At 39.9% G+C, this 21167-nt stretch overlaps 1 protein-coding gene across 9 annotated transcripts in view, besides 1 other annotated feature; it reads right to left on the reverse strand.

Annotated features, from left to right (window-relative positions):
- The window catches only part of CPNE4 (copine 4), a 506038-nt gene that overhangs the window by 161235 nt on the left and 323636 nt on the right, over window positions 1-21167 (reverse strand). For all 9 annotated transcript variants that reach the window (NM_153429.2, NM_001388326.1, NM_001289112.2 and 6 more), the window contains 2 exons: window positions 5106-5177; window positions 1739-1813 (listed from right to left, as the gene is read on the reverse strand). In NM_153429.2, coding sequence (NP_702907.1) covers window positions 1739-1813; window positions 5106-5177 — 147 coding nt within the window. The remainder of the gene's footprint in view (window positions 1-1738; window positions 1814-5105; window positions 5178-21167) is intronic.
- Window positions 19976-20295: an enhancer, noted in NCBI's record as "active region_20534". NCBI's record gives its function as "activates an Ori minimal core promoter by ATAC-STARR-seq in GM12878 lymphoblastoid cells {active_cell/tissue: GM12878}" and the evidence as "EXISTENCE:reporter gene assay evidence [ECO:0000049][PMID:35858748]".

Raw genomic sequence — 21167 nt, forward strand, 5'->3', positions numbered from 1 at the left:
CAAGCTGAGTACCACTGAGTGATTTGCATCAACATCATAGACAGCAGAACTGCCCAACTGAACCCTGATTGAATTTCTGACCCTCACAATCATTAGCTATAACGGAATAGTTCTTCATTTAGGTTGCTAGATTTGATGGTTTACCACACAGAATAGATTGTTTACCATGCAGCAATAGAAAACCAGAGCAGTAGTGTTGTGTCTTTGGGTAAATCATCATACCTTGCTGAGCCCTCATTTCCTGAAGAGGTTGTGTGAAATGATCTTTATGTTATCATTTTGCTCCTCCATTCTACAACTTTGCCCTCTTTCCATCTGAGACCATTTAACTTCCAGTCCAAACTGGAGCAAAGGCCTCTGATTTGTTCTCTGAATTACTAAGGATCTGGACAAGACATAGTCACATTATGAAGGAACTGGGGTTTCCAGCACTGGGGCATTCAGGCTCAGCAATGACCAGGGTCCTGGACAATCAGTACAGCCAATGGTGGGAATAGCCATTTAGAACCACTGTAAGTGCTGCAGGGGGCTCTTTCAATTCTATGAGCAAGTGTTCATTTGACTAAAGGGAAACTGCTCAAACACTTCAAAGCCAACTGGTCCAACAAACCTCCAAGCCCGCCCCCTTTTACTATAACATAAATCAGTTAGATGACAAACTAGAGGTACTTAAGAGCATACTAAGTGTAGAGAAACCATTATAAGCCATTAAGCAAGTAGCTTAAAACTGCTATCCACTGACCCAGTGGCTTATAATAGCACCAGGGAAGATACTATAAAGAAGTTTTGTGAGTTTTTCTGAAATTTGGGGAGATGATGAAGGAGAAGGAGCATAACAGTTGTGAAAAGGTGAAGTTAAAAGCTTGCTCCCAACTGACATCTATGCACACTGCAGTTCCCAGCACCTAGTTCATGCTCATGTTAAGAATGGAGCAGTCTGTGATGGTTTCATATAATCTATTCAAGACACTTTTAAAATCCAAATATAATTAGTTTATAAGGATAAAGTATTTCCTGATGTCCCCAGGTAGAATAAGTTGGCCTTACCAGGACACACTATTATATATCACTTATCACATTCTATTGTGGATATATTATTACTATATCATTTGTTTTTTAGATGTATGTTTTACTTCAATGATGAATTCCAGGTTGCAGATGTGAGAGTGGAATGTCCATTTTTGATATGCCTTTTTTCCAGCACCTCATGCATAACAAGCACCCAACAAAGGTTTGGAAAATGAATGATGAATGAATGAACAAATTAACAAATAAAAGAGTGAACCAGTGAATGCATAAGTGGGCTGACTATTAATACGTGATAAATAGGAGTTGTACAAATGAATAAATGTGATACCACATAAAAAGCTCTTAAACCTGTACTTGGCAAACATAGGTGCTCAATAAATGTCATTTTTCTTCCCTTTCATATCTTCTCCTCTCCCTTAGAATGTCCCTAGAAATGGGGTTAAATCATATTTACCTGTGCACATCTCACCGGTGGCATTTGGAAACAGTCTTGGTGTCATAGAATTGTCTTGTTTTAATTACAGTCCCTTCCCTTTCTCATTAATTGATCTTTAATGTGGGGGAAAGTTTACTTTGTAGACCTCTCTGAATTTTTGGATCTGTTTGATAATGTGGGTGGAAAGGGAAAAATAGTTGCAGGGGGAAATCTGATTAAACTGTGTGCTAGCTTTGTTACTTCCTTCAATAAGGTTAATGCCAAACGCTTTACCTTGTCATCCAATTTCCGTGCATTGAATGCAAGCTCAACATAGTCGTCATTGCCAGATAATTCTTCAGCAATCACCTAAAGGAAAAAGCACACATCAGCTGCAATAGAGGGTGAACTCCTTAGCTCCAGAACCCATGAGCAAATTTAGTTCCTGTTTGGTTCAAAACTCAACAAAGACAAATGTTGGGCAAAGAGTTTTTCCACAACCCTAGTGACTACAGCACAGCAATTCTAGGTATTCAAGGGAACTCCCTGGAATAGACAATGGTAAATAACTAGACACCATTTATACTGAGCAAGAGAACATAAGAGATGGGACCCAAGCTGAAGGAAAAAATAGAAGAGCAGTTTGGAAGAGCTTCTTTCTTTAAAGGTCACATGGCATTGGATAGTATTTCTATAATTAACTACAATGTCTCCCTTTGGTAAATTACAGAGAAGGAAAAACAGCAATATTTCTTTTTGAGTGAGACCAACAAGAAATGTTGGAATAAACTAGTTTTTATGTCAAATTTTTCTAATTCCTATTTTTCAAAAGACTGTCCCTGGGTTTTCTGAGATGAAGATATGGGTATACGTAAGGATTTAAGCCCTAACACCCAAGTACAGACCATTCCTGACAAAGATTTTGGTATAAGTGAAGAAATTACTGTCCAAAAGACTTTCTCATAATAGGTCATTTTCCAATACTTAATAGTTAGTGACTCTCAACAAAGCCTTGGAGCAGAAATTGGTGGAGAAAGTCAGGAGAAAAATAATGACAACAAAAGCAACAAAAATCTAGAAGCCAGTCAAGTTGCAGATAAGTTAAAACCTTTATAAATAATGTTAGGATTTACCATGTATTCTGTGGCCACAGCACATGGATACGCTTATCAAATTGCTTATATCAAGATACTGATAATTCAGTTTTACCTCTTTTCTATCTGAGCTCAACAATTCCATTATGAGTTGGGTCCATATACTTTCAATAGTCACTGGTAATATTCCAAATATTTTGGAAAATTTAAATTATTTACACTTAATCTTAAAGCTAAGATGGCTACCTTAAGACAGATAGACCCAAAAATGTGTGAACAACTGAGAGTAGAGATTGTGAGTCCAGGTATATAGGAAAAACTCTAGAACTGGTTGATAACCCAAGAACTATCATATTTGTATTTTTCATTTGGTTCTCTTTTGTCCCTTACCACCTTAATGCCTCTTATACTTCATTTGATTACTGACCCTTAAGTATTTTGTGATCACAGACACCTTTGGAAAACTGATGAAAGTTATGATTTTCACCATCTGCAGAGACCTAGAAAATTTCATGCACCTTTTCAAGTGTTTTCTAGAAGCTATTAAAGCCAATGTTTTGATCTAAAGACTCAAAGTTGAGGAGCATTTAAATACTTAAAATTAAATGGGGCCAGGGGCAGTGGCTCATGCCTGTAATCCCAGCACTTTGGGAGGTGAGGCGGGCGGATCACGAGGTCAGGAGATCGAGACCATCCTGGCTAACATGGCGAAACCCCATCTGTACTAAAAAAATACAAAAAAAATTAGACAGGTGTGGTGGTGGGCGCCTGTAGTCCCAGCTACTCGGGAGGCTGAGGCAGGAGAATAGCGTGAACCCGGGAGGTGGAACTTGTAGTGAGATGAGATCGTGCCACTGTGCTCCAGCCTGGGAGAGGGGCAAGGCTCTGTCTCAAAAAAAAAAAAAAAAAAAAGAAAGAAAAGAAAAAGATCAAACTTTTCTTGGATATGTGGAGAAAGAAAATCTCAGGATATCTCAGAGAAAATATGGCAAGATGAGATTTTGTTCTTTTGAGAAAGAACCATAGCAAATTCATACCTGGATCTACTGGTTTTGTGGGCTTTGGGAGTGAACCCGTGGGTCCATAGCTTTTCAGAGCACCATCAGTGTCTTCAAAGAACACTTTGATTCATGACTGAAGATGGCAGTCAAGAAAAAGCTTTAACATGACAGTGTCATTTAAAATATTCAAGCAACAAACTCAGGTAAGTTCTTGTGAGAATGGCCACAACTTTCACTGACAGCTCTTTTGAATTTTTCCTGTGCTTAAAAAAAAAAAAAAAAATCAGGGCAGGGTGCAGTGGCTCACACCTGTAATCCCAGCACTTTGGGAAGCCGAGGGGGGCGGATCACAAGGTAAGGAGTTGGAGACCAACCTGGCCAACATAGTGAAACTCCATCTCTACTAAAAATACAAAAATTAGCTGGGTGTGGTGGTGGGCACCTGTAATCCCAGCTACTTGGGAGGCTGAGGCAGGAGAATCATTTGAACCCAGGAGGTGGAGGTTGTAGTGTGCCGATATCGTGCCATTGCACTCCAGTCTGGGTGACAGGCTGAGACACTGTCTCAAAAAAAAAAAAAAAAAAAAAAAATTGGTTTCTCTCTAGTTAAAAAGGAATGTTCAAAATAACTCAAGAGGTTCGTTTTCTGGCAATTTGCCTCTCTAGCAATTCAGAATTTCCTTGTAGTTTTTTCTACCTTGTTTCTTTTGCTTGTCTTTTTGTTTGTTTCTTTTTTCACTCCATACATCCAAATGGTTGGACAACATCCTCTACCTTTTTCAAGGTCTCTTAATAGAAGATGTCGAACTTTCAAATACCAGGCATTCCATTCAAAAATGTAAGCTCTTATTTAGAAATACTTCTAGCATTACCCAATAGAACATTCTGCAATTATAGAAATGTTTTATAATCTACACTGTCCCATATGGTAGCTGCTAACCACTTGTAACTATTGAGCACTGGATATGTGGCCAGTGTGATTAAGGAACTGAATATTTACTTTAATTTTAAATAGTTTTATTAAAATTTAAATAATCACATGTGGCTAGTGGCTACTGAATCACACAGTAAACCTCCAAACTATTATATCAAAGAGGAGTGTTAAATGCTGAGCTCTTTGTTTGTCAGGAAACAAACCAAACCTTGAAGTAAATGCTATCAAAGCAAAATTTTAATTCTCAAAATAAATGAGAGACGAGGACACGTAGCTTTGAAGCTTTGATTGTGTGAAAATGCTAGACAATTCCGTAATCTCACTGTGCTCAACAACTACATCTTTCTCCTCCACTAAAATCTATCTTGCAATTGCAGAAGTGCTTACTAGAATTAAATAACCTTACTTTCAAATGCTTTTCCTTTTTTATTTTTCCTAGAGTTAGAAGGATCAAAATTGTATTGTCAGAAAAGAGAAAGAAAGAAAAATAAGGGAGTGATTTCAATAGTTCAGTAGTTGTGGCACCAACTCCCAATATCAGAAAGTCTGCTTCCCAAGTGTCTGGTTTGGGCTGGCCAGTCCGCCCAGGCTCTCCACTCAGGCAGACAGCTGCTTAGGGAGTGCCTGCTTACCGTGATGGAAGATTTCCCTGCTGTGTTCCCATGCTTCAGCAAGGATTTGGACAGCTTTCTCTGGGAAACAATCTGCAAAAAAGGAAACAAAAGGTAACAAAAGGTAGAGATACTAGTCATTTAACTGTAGATCTATTTTTTAAACCTTTTTTTTTTTTTTTTTTTTTTTACAAAACTCTGCATTCACGTTTGTGTCAATTTATATTTCAGGGTTTGTCAATGAGCCTCTCCTAATATAGGTTATTCCCTTTTCTCTTTCTTCTTATGGTGTGTGATATGAGAGAGTTAGTGAGTGAAGAATTACAGATAATGCAGTCAATTGGGAGGTGGCTTAATTGTTGATGAAGGATGTATATTAAAATTAGACAGACAACTTTAAACATGTATGTTAAGACAAAGTAGATAAAGTTTCAAAATGATCTCAAATATATCATTAAGCCTCCAGGCAAAGTGGGGGATGGGGTGCAGGGAGGGAAAGGAACTAAAGGGCTAAATATAACTTCTAGAGTTCTATTTTTAATATATTCATTAGGAAGTCATAAAGTAAGTCATCAGAAAATTGATGCTCAGACAAGTCAATAGAAGTAATTGCGGTTCTCTTCATGATTCAATGCCAATGCACCTGCGCAATGACAACTAAAATCATCATCATACTGAAAGCTATTCCTAGCAGAACTTGTCCCATTCTCTTTTTCCTCTTTCTTCCTTTTTTGAAAGAGAAGTTTGACAAGGCATTGAAGCCATGATTGGTTGGCAACCCATGATTCTCAAAGGAGAAAAGGGCTAAAAGGTCTAGAACTAGAAATACCATTTGACCCAGCCATCCCATTACTGGGTACATACCCAAAGGATTATAAATCATGCTGCTATAAAGACACATGCACATGTATGTTTATTGTGGCACTATTCACAATAGCAAAGACTTGGAACCAACCCAAATGTCCATCAATGATAGACTGGATTAAGAAAATGTGGCACATATACACCATGGAATACTATGCAGCCATAAAAAAGGATGAGTTCATGTCCTTTGTAGGGACATGGATGAAGCTGGAAACCATGATTCTCAGCAAACTATCGCAAGGACAAAAAACCAAACACTGCATGTTCTCACTCATAGGTGGGAATTGAACAATGAGAACACTTGGACACAGGAAGGGGAACATCACACACTGGGGCCTGTTGTGGGGTGGGGGGAGGGAGGAGGGATAGCATTAGGAGATATACCTAATGTAAATGATGAGTTAATGGGTGCAGCACATCAACATGGCACATGTATACATATGTAACCAACCTGCATGTTGTGCACATGTACCCTAGAACTTAAAGTACAATTAAGAAAAAAAAAAGAACCAAGTTGAAGCTACACTCATGCTTAGAGGGAACAACATCATCCATTGTGGCTGGAAGCTTCTATTTAACATGGTCCACAATGATCCTATCTTCATAATATTCATGCTATTGTGTAATATTCTCCCCTCAAGTGTGGGATGGACCCAGCGACTTGCTTCTAAAAAATAGAATAATACAAAAGTGATGGGATATCACTTCTGAGAATAGGTTACAAAATGACTGTGACTTATCTCTTATCACTATCTTATATCTTATATCTTACCACTATCTCTCATTCTTTCTCTCTCTCAGAGCCTTTGCTCTGGAGGAAGCTAGCTGACAGATTGTGAGTAGTCCTATAGACAGACCATGTGGCAAGAAACTGAAGTCTCTGGCTAACAGCCAGGAGCGTAAGCCTGGAAGAAGATTCTCCTCTAAGTTGAGCCTTGAGATAACTGCACCTTGATTGCAGCTTCATGAGAAACCCTTGCATTTGGCACTAGTAGAGACTTGGTGTTTTCATTGCAGTAACACAGAGACAAAAATATATGAAGAGGACTCAGAAAAGCTGTACCCTGATTCCTGACATACAGCAACTGAGATAACAAATGTTTGGTTTTTTAAGCTTTTGAAGTACTTTTTTTAAGTTTTGAAGTAATTTTTTATTAGCAGAGAGCAATGATACTGTACACATATTATTCACAGAAAGACAGGAAAGGAGATCACCATGAAAGGCCAGGAGGTAAACTCATTCTTTGAAATTTTCATTTATTTTTGTCTGTGTTACAGCAATGAAAATACCAAGTCTCTACTAGTGCCAAATGCAAGAAGTCCAGAGAACTTCCCTAGGACAAGCAGATTTAAAGATCTTGATGTTCAGTCTGCTATAATCTGAAGAGAAAATATTTCTGTAAAAAAATCACCTGGTAATGATGACCATGATCATGATCATGTTTGTGATGATGATGACAACAATGATAGCAATGTAGCAATGGAAACTCTCACTTAAGGAGTACATATTATGTTACAGATGCTTTATTCATTCTACAAATATTTATTTGGCCCCCACTGTATGCTAGACTTGGTGGTAGGCACTAAGAATAGAGTGGTAAGTAAAATCTGATGCAATGTCTAACCTCACGGAGCTTACAGTTTCTCTGCACGTTTTTTCCAGCAAGGGAAGTGGGGAAGACACATGAGTAAGTGACAAAACAAGGGTCATCTGTAAGCAGTAGCCAGGACAACATCTGACTAAAGAAAGGCAATGTATCCCATTTCCCAAACAAATCTGGTCTCAGAAATACTAATGTCCATTGTCATTGTGATTCATCCGCATTGGTCACCTACTCCCCTGATGTCAGGAGACCCCAACAACCCTCTCGGCCCTATAATAGCCCACTCATTGCATTAGCAGGTGTGGGTAGACCATTTTACAGACAGTGTCTTACAAGATTCACATTATCTTTATTCAAGGAAGAGTAAAGGAGACTAATCCCAAGAGAACCTGGATGGCCATAGTTCTCTCTCCTCACTCTTAACTTATCTAGAAATACCAATGTTCCATTTGCAGGGAATGAAGAAAATGCTACTGTATGCCAGCTTTTGCCTTTTGCAAATGCTAGGAAGATAAGCAATTTCCCAGGAAATATCCCTTCTTAGGAAATGGGCATTTGGGTATACAAGTGGTGTTTTACAGCCTCGAGGTTTCCATCTCAGCTCCAAGGAATGAGTAATAATCAGGGTTTTGAATTTTTCATTGTAATAATGATGGACAAGAAATGAGTTGCCATTGATGTTGCTATTCTCAGGACAGTTGGGCAAAAATAGCAAAGAAGCCCAACTGGAGCAGTGATCTGTAGAGAAAAGCCTATTTGTTGCAAATCCCACTTATCATGTACACTTTGCTGCAGCTGTAGCAACTGCACCCAGCTCAAAAATGCTTTAGGTCTTGACAGAAGATGAGAAAGTCAGAGTCACAAGGACTCTCACCCTGGCTTCAGCTGACATTTGAGGCCAACAAATAGCAAATTGTGCCTGACATCAAGGTTAAAAGGGATCCATTTGTCAGAAGTTCCTTAATTTGATTCTTTATACCCTATGATGGGGTCACAGGTGCAAACCTTAGTATTCAACAAAAGGGTGAAGTGTAGAGGGAGGATTTAGAAGTTGAAATACTCTTTTTAGCAAGGTTGGACCAGAGAGGCCTTAGTACCATTAGCCCTCTTATCTGCATCCACCCACGGATCTGGGGAGAAGTGGTTCTTCTCTAGCAAAGTGGACAATGGCTTCTAACAGCATGGGTCTTCAATTTTAGAAAAATGCACTGTTTCATTAAGTGGGAACAAAGCAAGGAGAATAAACTGCTCAGTATTTCAACAAGTTTATATTCAGCTGAACTTTATTCCGAAGTCTTTCGAAACAGTCATTTTTGGAACTAGAGAGTCATTTTTCATGAGGCTGTTTTTATTGAAAATATTTTCAGAATTTTTTTTATATTCTTTAAAACAGTTACAATAACAGATATTTATTGAATACTTTCTAGGTACCAGTTACTGTTCATAGGCTACAATGGTGAGTAGAAACAGATTAAAAACATCTTACAATGTAGTGAAATCTCAGCTAGCTTTAATTTGATAGCCCCAAAACATGCATTATAGAACTTTTATTCCTTAAAAGGTAAATACATATTATTTGAAAAAGTGTTGGTGTAAATGAGTTTGGAATTTATAGGATTATACAAAGTTTAACATTTCAACTACAGGACTTCAACAGAGCTTTAGTTGTGAATCCCATGAAACAAGCATTCCTTACACTTGTTTGGCCTGAGATTTCTTTGGTACAGGAGTCTCTCTAGTGTTTTGCAAACTCCTAGTACAATTACTAGGACCAACCACTACGGAGAACTAAGGTTTCCTGGTCTCTCACTGTAGCAGGCAAGGAAAAACTGCCCAGAACTTCCCAGGCCTCCCTCTTGCAGAGCTGGTAGGGCTTCCAACAGCCAATTCAGGCATCTCTTTGCCTGAAAGTTTCCTCTGGTATCCATGGCTACTATCCACAAGCACAGCAAGATGGAAGTGGGGAGGTAGTCATCCCTTGGAAGCAGATCTCAACCAGTGACTGATGGTCTTTGGTACATAAATATCTCGGCTCTTTTGTCTCAGTAGTGAGGGCTGACACTGGGTGTTTGTTCAATATGGGTGCCTGACTTGTCCCAGTGAAATGAAGCTCCAGTTTCTCCCAGTGGTGATTTGTTAACTAATGCACCCTTTATTTTATTGGCTGTTTTCTCTTTGCTATCTCACTTCTCTTTTTTCTCTCCTGCTGTTTCCTTCACCTCACAAATAATCTACTTACCCTCCAATGCTTGACTGTGTCTGGAAGAACACAACCAAGACACTTATTCTGTGACAGATGATATGTGGAACACTTAATGCTAATTAGATGAACTCATTTCTTGTCATTTAATGATCATTTATGAAATGTCATTTAATGATCATTTCTTGTCATTTAATGATTTAACTCTTTCTTGTCTCCAAGCAATTGGGATGAAGGAATCAAGTCTTAGAGAAATTAAGGAGTTCATCTAAGGTCACTTAGTGTTATGGATGAAATTGTGTATCCCATATTGAAGCTGTAACCCCCAGAGTCACTGTATTTGGAGATAAAAACTTTAAGGAGATAATTAAGGTCAAATGAGGTCATAAGGGTAGGGCCCCAATCTGATTGGACTGGTGTCCTTATAAGAAGAGACACCTGATCATGCACATACACGAACTCACACACATTCTCTCTCCCTCCCTCCCTCCCTCCCTTCCTACCTTCCCACCCACTTTTCCCTTCTTCCTCCACTCTTCCTCCTCACTTGCTCTTCTTTCCCTTCAATTGAAAATTTTTATTCATTTTTCAAGCTCTACATGAGAAGTTTGGAATCATTGCTGTGGAGGAAAGTGAAGTCACTTGTGGGACCAAGAAGGACTTTATCCTTGCTACTCACATTGTATACCACTCCCCCGTCCAACAGCAGCAGCAAGGCTGGGGAGCTTGTTAGAAATGCAGAATCTCAGCCCCACCCCAGACCCACTGAATCCAAATCTGCATTTTAAGGAGACCCTCAGGTGCTCTGCAGGCACATTGATGTTGAGAAGCACTGAGCTAGAAAGGGAGAATTGCATGTAAAAAAAGTTTAAATATAAAATGCTCAGATTTTTAAAAATTATCTTTGGAAGGGCTTTTAAATTAATCTGTTCTGCTGATTTGGTCTTTCATTAATAGGTAAAAGTTGTAGAAACTGAGGAAGGCACAATGCTGACACTTTCTTGGCCACTCTGGGGAAGGAAAGGGTGATGTGCATGTGTGTCTACATTTTATGCAAATTCAGTACAGTCTTCAGCTCCCCAGTGGAGACCTACAAAAGCACCATCCTAGGAAGGATGAGTCAGAATAACAAGAGCAATAGGTATTCCATTAGTTTGAGCTTCCTGTCTTAAGCTTTCCATTTCACAGCGTTCTAATTACTTCAAGTGTAATTACAGGCTTTTACCCTGTCTCTGACTTCATTAGCAAGGGAAGGAATGGAAGGAGGGTTTCAGAGAGAGTTTTAAGGACTGCTTGTGTATTAATTATACACCTTTGCCTCATCTCTTGGGTAATGCCTTGTCATCATTACAAATGACCCAGCTCAGTTATTAGTCAGAGGCCATCTGCCCCACACTTCACCCCCATCTCCGCTTCTCATCTCCCTCCCCCGGCCACACCAGGTGGCAGCCAGGAGAAAGAGAAAAGGACCCACATCCCCTAGCACCTAATGTCCTGGCCAGAGCATTTTGTCGGGTCAAGGGCACATGGTATCTTTTCAATCACTGCCTTTGGTGGGTTGTGAGTTGTCTTCAGTGAGACTTGACACCTGAATGTTAGCAGTTCATAGGTCAGAAGATGCTTGAAGGAATTCTTTGACCGTTTTTAAGTGAAAGAGGCAAACTCCCACTTTGAGATACTATAGTTAGGCTAAGTATTTTTGTTATTACTTTTTCAAGGGAAAAAGACCACAGGCTCAAAAATAACTAAGGTCACACAACTATTAAAGGGTCATAATAAACACTACTTTGAAAACACCGATTATGTGACAGCTACCGCTGTAAAGTGCCTTATGTATATTGATTCACTTAATTCTCATGACAGCTCTGCAAGGTAAGTATTATAAGCTTACGTATGAATGAGAAAATTGAGGTATACAGAATCGTAAACCGAAATTAAAATTCTAAGCCCCCTGACCATCTGAATGGATTCCTCCTCTTGGCCAAGGGCATTCCAAAGTTAACCTAAGAAAACTAGTTTAGGCTATGATAGGAAGGGGGAGTCAGACATGCCTCATTATACCCTCCTCCCTTTTGGGATTCAGGCCCAGCTGACCAGCATTAACATCAACATAGACTTTAAGACTCTTCAAGTCTGATAAGAAACATTTGCCATCTTTTCTTTGACGCCTGCTGCCTGGATGCTTCATCTGCATGATAAAATCTTGGTCTCACCAACCCCGTATCTTAATCCAGGCATTCGTTTCTATTGATTCCAAGTCTTTAGACAATAACTTAACTGTTTCAACCCACTGCCAACCAGAAAATTTTTGAATCTATCTATGATCCCAATGCCCCCCACCCCACTTCTAGTTGTCTCACCTTTCCAGACTGAACCGATGTATATCTTACATGTATTGATTAATGTCTTATGTCTCCCTAAAATGTTGTAGCCTGACCACCTTGGGCTCATGTTCTCAGGTTTTCCTGAAGGATGTATCGTGGGCCATTGGGCACTCATATTTGGCTCAGAATAAATCCCTTCAAATATTTTACATAGTTTGACTCTTTTCATTGACCAAATATATTCACTTGCTAGGGCCTCCATAACAAATGACCATAAACTCTGTGGTTTAAAACAACAGAAATGTGCTCATGGCTCTGGAGGGAAAAAGTTTGAAATCAAGGTATTGGCAGAGCCACACTCTCTCCAGAGGCTTTAGGGGAGATTCTGCTTCTTGTCTCTTCTAGCATCTTGTGGCTGCTGCAGCTCCTCAGCTTGTGGCTGCCTCACTCTACCTCCTTCTTCATGTGGTCCTTTTCTCTTCTGTCTCTCCTCTGTGTCGCTAGAATTGGGGCCCACCTGGTTAATCCAGGATGACCTTCTCGTCTTGAGATCCTTTACTTAATTAGATCTGCAAAGGCTCTTTCAAATAAATTCATATTCACAGGATTTAGGACTCAGGGTATGGACATATATTTTTGGGGGCCACTGTTTAGCCCACTACAGAGAGCTGAGTAACTTGCTCAAGGTTCCATAGCCAGTAATTAGCAGAGCTGGGGTTTGAATCCAGACAGTCCAGTTCCAGAGTTCATTCCCTTAACTGCTAAACTCTCCTGTCTCTGATAAATGACAGAGGCAGGACTTGATCAGGCCCTGAGCTAAACCTTACAAGATACACAAAGAAATTCACACTCACTCTTTATCCTCAATGAACTTACCATTGAGGAGAGTTCCCTCTTACTCAAACCACTACAAGGGCCACTGAACCAGCCCCCTAGCTTCACTCTTGCTATAGAATGGTACAGCAAGCATCACATATAAGGCTCCAAATAGTCTCCCTGGTATGGAACCCTGGGCAGATTAACCTCTCTGAGCCTCAGTTTCCTCATCTGTGAAATGGTACTACTCCATGGGTTTATTGTATATCTAATGAGCATTAACAAGATCCCAGCATCAGGCATATACAAATGTTTGGGAAATGCTATTTTCCTCTTCTTTTCTCTCCCATTCAATAAATCCCCATGTAGAGATAATTATAGTCACCTATTGGCTTAGGGGTCCTGGCTGTGGAAGGGGTGAAAAGGGGTGGATAGTAGAGATATTTGAGACACTGAATTGATGGGCCTTCATGACTGATTGATGGGCTGTGGGATAGAGAGTGAATGAGAGCCATGAGGAAAAGCTCCTAGGGTCTGGACCTCTGGCTCCTGGGAAGAAGAAGGAGCTACTGAGTGAGTAGGACACATTAGAGGAAGGGGAAGATGGCAAGGGGTGTGGAGAGGGCAAGAGGAGATGAAGAGCTTTGTTTTGGGCTGCTGAGTTTGAGATGTCTGTGAGTCATACAAGTGGAATTAATATCTAGAGAATGCTGAATACATGAGTCTGGGCTCAAAGAAGAGTCCTGAGCTAAGAGTCTCCAAGTATAGATGATAAATGGAAGGGCAGGAGCTGATGGAGGAATGTATAAAGAAAGAAAAGGGTGTGAGAGTGAGGCAGTCTTCCAAGCTGAGAACCACAGTGATGTCTCCTGTCTTCACTGTACCCTCAGCCTCTGAATAAACCTTCTGATGGGACCAGTCCCCAAGGCCAAGGGGGAGCTGAGGGATGACACACTCTCCTCTGTGTCTTCTCTGCTCAGGCTGGGGATGGCGAAGGCTCTGTGGGGGGACATTCAACTAGGACAGAGGCTGTATCCTTGTTTTTGTGGTGATAGAAGCTTCAAAAGAAAGTGAAAAGTTGGAGGTGTTACTGAGGATGCAGGAAAAAAGGCACCTTTGTGCACTGAAAGGGGCAGTGTAAGTTGCTACAGTTTTTCTTTGGGGATATTTGGCAGTTTATAGCAAGGACCTTAAAATGAATGCTCAAATAATACACTGTTACTAATTCATTCTAAAAAAAATCAGTGTCTGAGGGCATAAAGATATATATATATATATATATATATATATATATATATATACATACACACATAATAATATAATACTCATAAAAATGTTATAATTCTAAAAAACTGGAAACAGCCTTAATGTCCACGGTAAGTGGACACATTACATGAATTCTGATATCAGGATGTTTAGTAGTTATCTCTTAATGGTAGGCTTTTTATTAGTTATCTCTCAATGGTGGTGATTTTATTTTTTCTATTTCTAAATAGTTTTTGCAATGAGCCTATATTATCTTTGCATACAGAAAAACAATAAAGCCATTTCCTACAAATAATGCAATGGAGGGACGGAAAATTCTTGCTTGGCTTAAACTGACGTCATGTGGGAGAATTTCTTGGGTGTCCGGAGGAAGAGCCTGGGATGCTGGTCCCACAGCCTCTAACAGAGCTGAAGGAGAGTCATAGCAGCAAGAGATCCCAGCAGTTGCTAGAGTGCCGTATCTGGTGAACGTGGGGACCCAATCATTTAAATGCCCTATCCCTGTGGATCCATTGGTGATGCAGGCTTTGCAGATGTTGTTTCTCAGCAATCAGCCATTCTCTAAATCTTGTGTTAAAAGTGCTGGCAAAGAGGTTGTTGCAGACTGACCAAAGCATGGAACTGTTTAGTAGTTGAGGTGGGGATGTTATCTCAGAGCCAGAAGGCTCAGTTTAACTCATGCCTCCCTCATTAGAAAATCGTGTGCTCCTAAGCAAGTTACTTCAAGGTTCAAATGCTTAGCAGCAAAATGAAGAAATAATGACACTTACCCTCAGGGGGTTTGTGAGGATTAAATGAGATAATTGGTACGAAGCTTTCAGCATAGGGTCTGGCAGAATATAAGAACTCTTGCTCTTCCCTCTGCCTGGAACACTTTTCTGGATGTCTTTACATGGCTCATGCCCACACTTTTACATTTTCTTCTGACTTCCTGACATTCCTACCTAAATTAGCACCCAGTCCTTTCCCGCCACCCTCTATTTCTTATCCCATGTGTGCTTTCTTTCAATGAGATCATTATTATCTGTTATTGTATCATGTAGGAATAGGTAAGCTCCATGAGGCAGGGCTTTGCCTCCTTTGTTCACAACTGAATCTGCAGTGCCTACAAGAGTGTCTGGCACATAGTAAGTTCCAATAAGTGGATAAAGAATCCATATATATTTATTTGAATAAGTGAGTACATGTATATTAGCTTTTGATTATTATTGAGAGCATTAGATAGATGCATTATTCATTGAATACATATCAGTTATTTTCAGATTATTGTTACCCTTAACTGCCATATAAACAATAGATCCATGTCAAGGGAAAGATGGGGTCTAACTGCTATACATTTCTTAGACCTTTTGGTCCAAGAGTATTTTGGTGGAGTGTCCATTTGCAGATAGATGTTACAGGTCTGCCTGAGCTGGGAAAAAGACACTTTTTAGATATAGGAGTCAATTTATCAACTTGTGAGGAAGGATACTTTTATCCTCTCTGTGGGCAGTTTTACAGTGACAGCATATGGGAAGAACTGCTACTCTACCTTTTCAAATTTACACAGGCTTGTAGAAATTGAAAGTGGCTTAGTAGGCAAGGTAGTATAATGAGAAGGCAGGTATTGAAATCAGAACAACTTAGGTTTGAAATTTCGCTCTGCAACTTACTGTCAGTGTACTCTTTGGTGAATCAGTTGAGCTCCCAGAGCCTAATTCATAATTTATCAAGCGGGGCTTCACATAACATAATATCTGAGATATAACAAGACCCCCTGAAAATCAGTTTCTTCCCTTCGATTGACAACCAAGGAGGAAGTCAGTGGGAAGACCTGGGGCATTCATAAAGGGACAAGAATCTTTTTCTCATTAAGTTTATAAAACAAAAGCTCAGAGGTAATGTAGCTTAAAGGTAAGGGAAAAGTAGCTTAGCACTCTGACTGAATCCAAATGTTAGGTGTTAAGCCCTTCCTTTGCCACTTCAGGAGGCATGTAATCTTGGCCTAGTGATGATAATAATGATGATGATAGTGTTGATAGCACCAAGCTCATGATTGCCTGGCATGTGATCAGCTCTTACTAAATACTAGCTATGAAAATGATTATCATCAAGTGGTCGTAAAATATATTGTCCAAATTGGGACACTTTTGAAAGTGAGAGGGAACAGTGTTAATAATTAAGCCATGATAGTAAGTGTAAACCGGACAGGCAGGGGCAAACTGAGTCATAGGTTACCCTATCATTCTCACAATACCTGATATGTAAAAGTGAATTCCCCCTTAAAGAGTATTTAAGCATTGTCCAGGAGCACCAGAGAGCAGCACAGAGATGCCTGCTCTGGTTGGCTAAACTCAGCACTGCTTTTGTCTTCTCAATTTTAAGCTTTTCTGATTCGGTCTTGCTGACTGGTGCCCTGTCAGCACATTCACTGTAATACCAGTTTTACTGGTTTGAATCTCAGTGGGGAGAGAGAAGTTTGGGGGATATGTTTTCCTTTGTTTCTGATAACTGGCTTGAAAACGTGTGCTGGCCTGAGCATCCTGATGAGCAGATGCTGAAGAAGAGTGAGGGAAGCACGAGTAATCAGCCCACCCTGGGCTTACCTGGATGGAGATTAGGCCCAAGAGCATGCACCTTTGCTGACCTGTGCTCACATGGGAAGGGCCCTTGACGGCTCATGTTCCATGCAAAACAAAGCTAATTAATTCATACCCGGCCTCATTTTGTCTGTGAATCTGAAACCAAGACTCGTGGGAATGCTTTTGTAAACCAAGCAGTTATTGTTTTCCTCCCCCTCAACTTTATTAGGTTAATTTAAAGTAAAACTATTCTCTTTCCCAAATAAAGCTTGAAATGAGGAGTCTAGACTTTGGAGGAATCTCAGAACCTCATTTTCAGTTCCAGAGATGTTCCTTAACTTATTTGTTCTTCGTGCCCCAAGCCCTCCTGGGTCTCTTCTGTAATCAAAAATAATATTTCAAAAGATCAGAATCAAATTAGCCCAGCCAACTCTCCTCCCTGTGGACAAAGGGGTGGGGACTAACATCTGCAAATTGATCTTTCAAAAACCTCACAGAAAGCACAGCTTCAGCAAATGCCTCCCCCAAAAGGATTTCCTGTAAATTTCCCAAATTAGAATTCTTTACAAGTTTTAAAGTTCTTCCACATTTGTTTAAAAATCTACACAATGTTTACGTGTCTTACTCCTCCACCTGAGTGTGAGTTCTTTGAAGTCAGCATGCGGGTCTTATTATGATGTTTTGCCTAACATTTATTATAATATTTTTCTAATCATAGATGTGATATAGTTTCCTTTTAGAAATACAAAAGCACAGATGTAATTTCCTACATCATCTATAATCCCACAACCTAGATGTCATCACCGTTAACATTTAAAAATATATCCTCCCAGTCTCTTGGCCTGTAAAGAAATGGGTACTTTAATAGTTAGGACCATATTTTTAATCCCCTGTTGGGACAGGTTAGCTTTTTAATGGCTACATTTGATATTCAGAAACATTCATGATAACCAATAACTAAATTTCATAAGCAGTCTAAACCAACAAATATTCCCGAAATCTTCACAACTTCTAAAATAATTGTAGTAAACTTTATCAATAGTTCAAGAAATCTAGTTTTTAGTAAATAAAAGTAATTGGAAGAGAGTTGGTTTGGGGGTTAATATATTATTTCGTGAATTGGCTTTTTGGTTATTAGACTTCAACAAACTGGCCGTTTGCCATACTATGAATTCAGTTTATAGTGTTGGAGTGTTTCATGCTTTAGGGCTAGGACAAGGACATACATTTTTATTTAAAGCAGCCAGGATGCTGACAATCGAGAAGGTGCAGCATGGCAGCATTTGTAGGGGAAACACAAGGGCTGAATGATTGGAAGAGTATGTGTAAATGCCATGGAGATAGCGATCTAAATTAGATTTACAGCCAGTACTTCTGAGCTGGTGGAAATGGGATTGAAATGAAAGCTGGTTGGAAACAACAAAAGTGGGAGCTGTGGGAGAGGTCCTGAGAAACTGCCTTATGCCACCTGCCAACCCAGGTGGCATAAGTGGCTCCCTGGATGAGTAGGTAGGCCCAGGGCACACTGATAGGGTGGTCTGGGGGCTGGGTGCCCTGCACCAGCCTGGCTTAAAGGATTAGGATCAGGACAGGCTCCTGTAGCTGTTTTTTTTTTAGCATTGATACACTAGTCCTTGCAAATTGTCATCCAGCTCCAAAGCTCTTGCCCTCCTCTGCACCAATATTGAGCTTGTAGAAGTATCATACTAATGAATGTGAGTGTATATGGAAAAGGGCCTGTGTTAATTGTCACTAAATACATCTTTTTATAACTATCTTTGAAATTAAATACAGTTGTTTTCCTGGGGGCTACCAGGTAGGTAGAATGATACCATCTATGACTGAACGACATCTATGACTTTACATGAGATAAATACTTCATGCTGAGATGAGATGAGATGAGAAAGGGTAGTGGAAGGGGGAGAGAGTGTCTTGAAAAGAAATGAGAATGTGTGGAGAGATGCTGAATTTCGAAAACAAGAAAAGGAAAGAGATGAATGAGAATCATTGACTATTAGAACTGGAAGGAACTTAGAGATGAATCAATGCAAAATGTTTGTTCTATAGATGAAGTCACCATATCACAGAGAGGTTAAGCAAACTGCCCAAGGCCATACAGAGAGTTGATGGCAGATCAAGACATAGGACTCATGACTCCAATCCAGGACACTAAAGGAGATTTCAAAGTATAAAAGGAGGACTCCAGAGAAAGCAGAGGGATGTTTCTAGGATCCAAAGTTATGATTCCTTGCCTGTTTAGAAGTTAGAAAAAAAGAGCAAGAATTAATTATATTCTCCCTGTAGAAATGGGGCCTTCTCACCCACAACCACCCTACTTAAATCCCAGCTGCCTATGAGCAGAAAAGACAGCAGTAAAAAAAAAAATGGCACTACTTCCCAGGATTTCTTATCTAGTCCACGGGAGCTGAGATGATGTGATTACTTATGACATCATTCATCACTCACGTGGCTTCTGCTTGCAGTAATTCTGCAAAGTAAGGGCAAGCTTTGCATGTGAGAAGCAGAAGGAGAATGACTTCCCTGCTGTAATGTGTAAATTTGACTTCCCTGGGTCATCAATTTTATACCATGAGGATATTAGATAGTATGCAACAAAATGCTAACCTGTGGAATCTTACTGTGGGCATTACATTGAGTTTGGGTAGCACCCTCAGCATCATCATAACACCCAGTGTTCAGCAACCTGGCTCATCCCGACACTAAACCTAATACCCATTGATCAATAGCTTGTGGTCTGCCCACTCTTTCAGGGACCACTGTGCCTGACATAATCCTAACATTCACTTATGTCAGGAAGGAAACCAATGGATAATAAGTCCATTTAACTTCATTTAATGAATGGGAGAAAAAACTTTGGCACTCAAAATCTTTACCAAGAGCATAAACTGAAAGCTGTGTACATTGGCCTTTTTGTAGTGTAAACTTTATAAAGCAACTTTTTTCTGTTCACCAGATGTTTTCTATGTCCTCTTCAATTTCTCCAGATAATTACCCAAAACACTGGTTCCTTTCTTGATTGAAACTAGTAATACAGTGTCCAAGATTCATTAGCATCCTCTTACATGAGGCATTGGGGCAGGGCTTCTCAAAGTGTGATGTCTGGACCTGCAGAATAAGCATCACCTGGGAACTTAGAAAATGCAGATTATTGAATCTCTCCCTAGATCTTTTGAATCATAACTCTGGGGGTGAGGCCTAGCAATTTGTATTTTAATATGCCTCCAGGTGATTCTGCCACATGCTCAAGTTTGGGAACCACTGCCCTGAGAGAAGATGGTATATAATCTCTCTCTCATGAATAAGGGTCAGAGGACTCCTGACAGCCCAGGACTTCTTCAAGGTGTCAGGGATTTCCCAGCCCCACTTATGATGACAGAAAGCAGGAAGTTCTTGGCTTTGACAGGTGTCCTCTGAACTTCTGGAGGAGACATACACTGAAGAACAGCCACACAACAATGAAGAGAAGATGACTTCACACAGTCATAACTGTCTCCAAACCACTGAGAAGAGAAAATGCCTGCAAGAAAAGCAATGATGAAACCCAGGTGCAACCACTGAATTTTGATAAGGGATTTTTCATCATGGTTGAAGATGAAAGGAAGGCCAGAGCAATGCACCTTCTGGGTGCTGAGTTTGTAAGATTTTGGTTTTCGGAGGTTGACACACTGCCATTTTTTAAGAAGCCATATTATATTTAAAGTAAATTCAGTAGAGAAGCCCAGAGGGAAGATGATCAAGCCCATTTATCTGCAAAAGGATTCCTAGTCTGCCTCTATCAGCTCTGTGTAAGACAAATAAACTTAAGAAGAAACAAGACACCAAAAACTAGCCAGGTCAACTCCAATTTGACTTTGCATTCATAGATGCTACTTGATCATTTATACTAGTTAGTGACAAGCTATTAGAATAGATGGAAAAGATTATACAGGGCTTTGGAGCTAAAGAGATCGACAACTTGCTGTGTGACCTTGGATAACTTACTGAGCTTTACTCAGTCTCAGTTTCCTCAGCTGTAAAATGGTAATAATGGTAGTGCCTACCTCTCAGGGATGTTGTGCTGATTAAATGAAGTGCAGTATAGCAACAGCTTCACCCAGTGCCTACTAAATAAAAGTGCCTGGAGTTTAAAAATTTCTTTAATTATTTTTCTTATTTATGACTCAGTTCCACTGTCTTTGGTGGATGAAGTGGGAAAATATGAGGATGAATGAATGAGTTAATAAGCAGTGAAAGAGAAAATAAATGCATCACATTAAAGAAGGTCAGCTTGCTGTTCTAGGCAGTGAAGGATCACATCTCTCTTTGGCGTACCCACTATTGGATGTAGCAGAAGAGGGGCTTAGCTCCTTGATTTCTTTTGGGCAACAGAAATCTAAGGAAGGTCTCAAAACTTACCCAGAAAGAGGCAGCTTCTGAGTACCCTATGT

Source organism: Homo sapiens, chromosome 3 (assembly GCF_000001405.40).
Source record: "Homo sapiens chromosome 3, GRCh38.p14 Primary Assembly".
Lineage (NCBI taxonomy): Eukaryota > Metazoa > Chordata > Mammalia > Primates > Hominidae > Homo > Homo sapiens.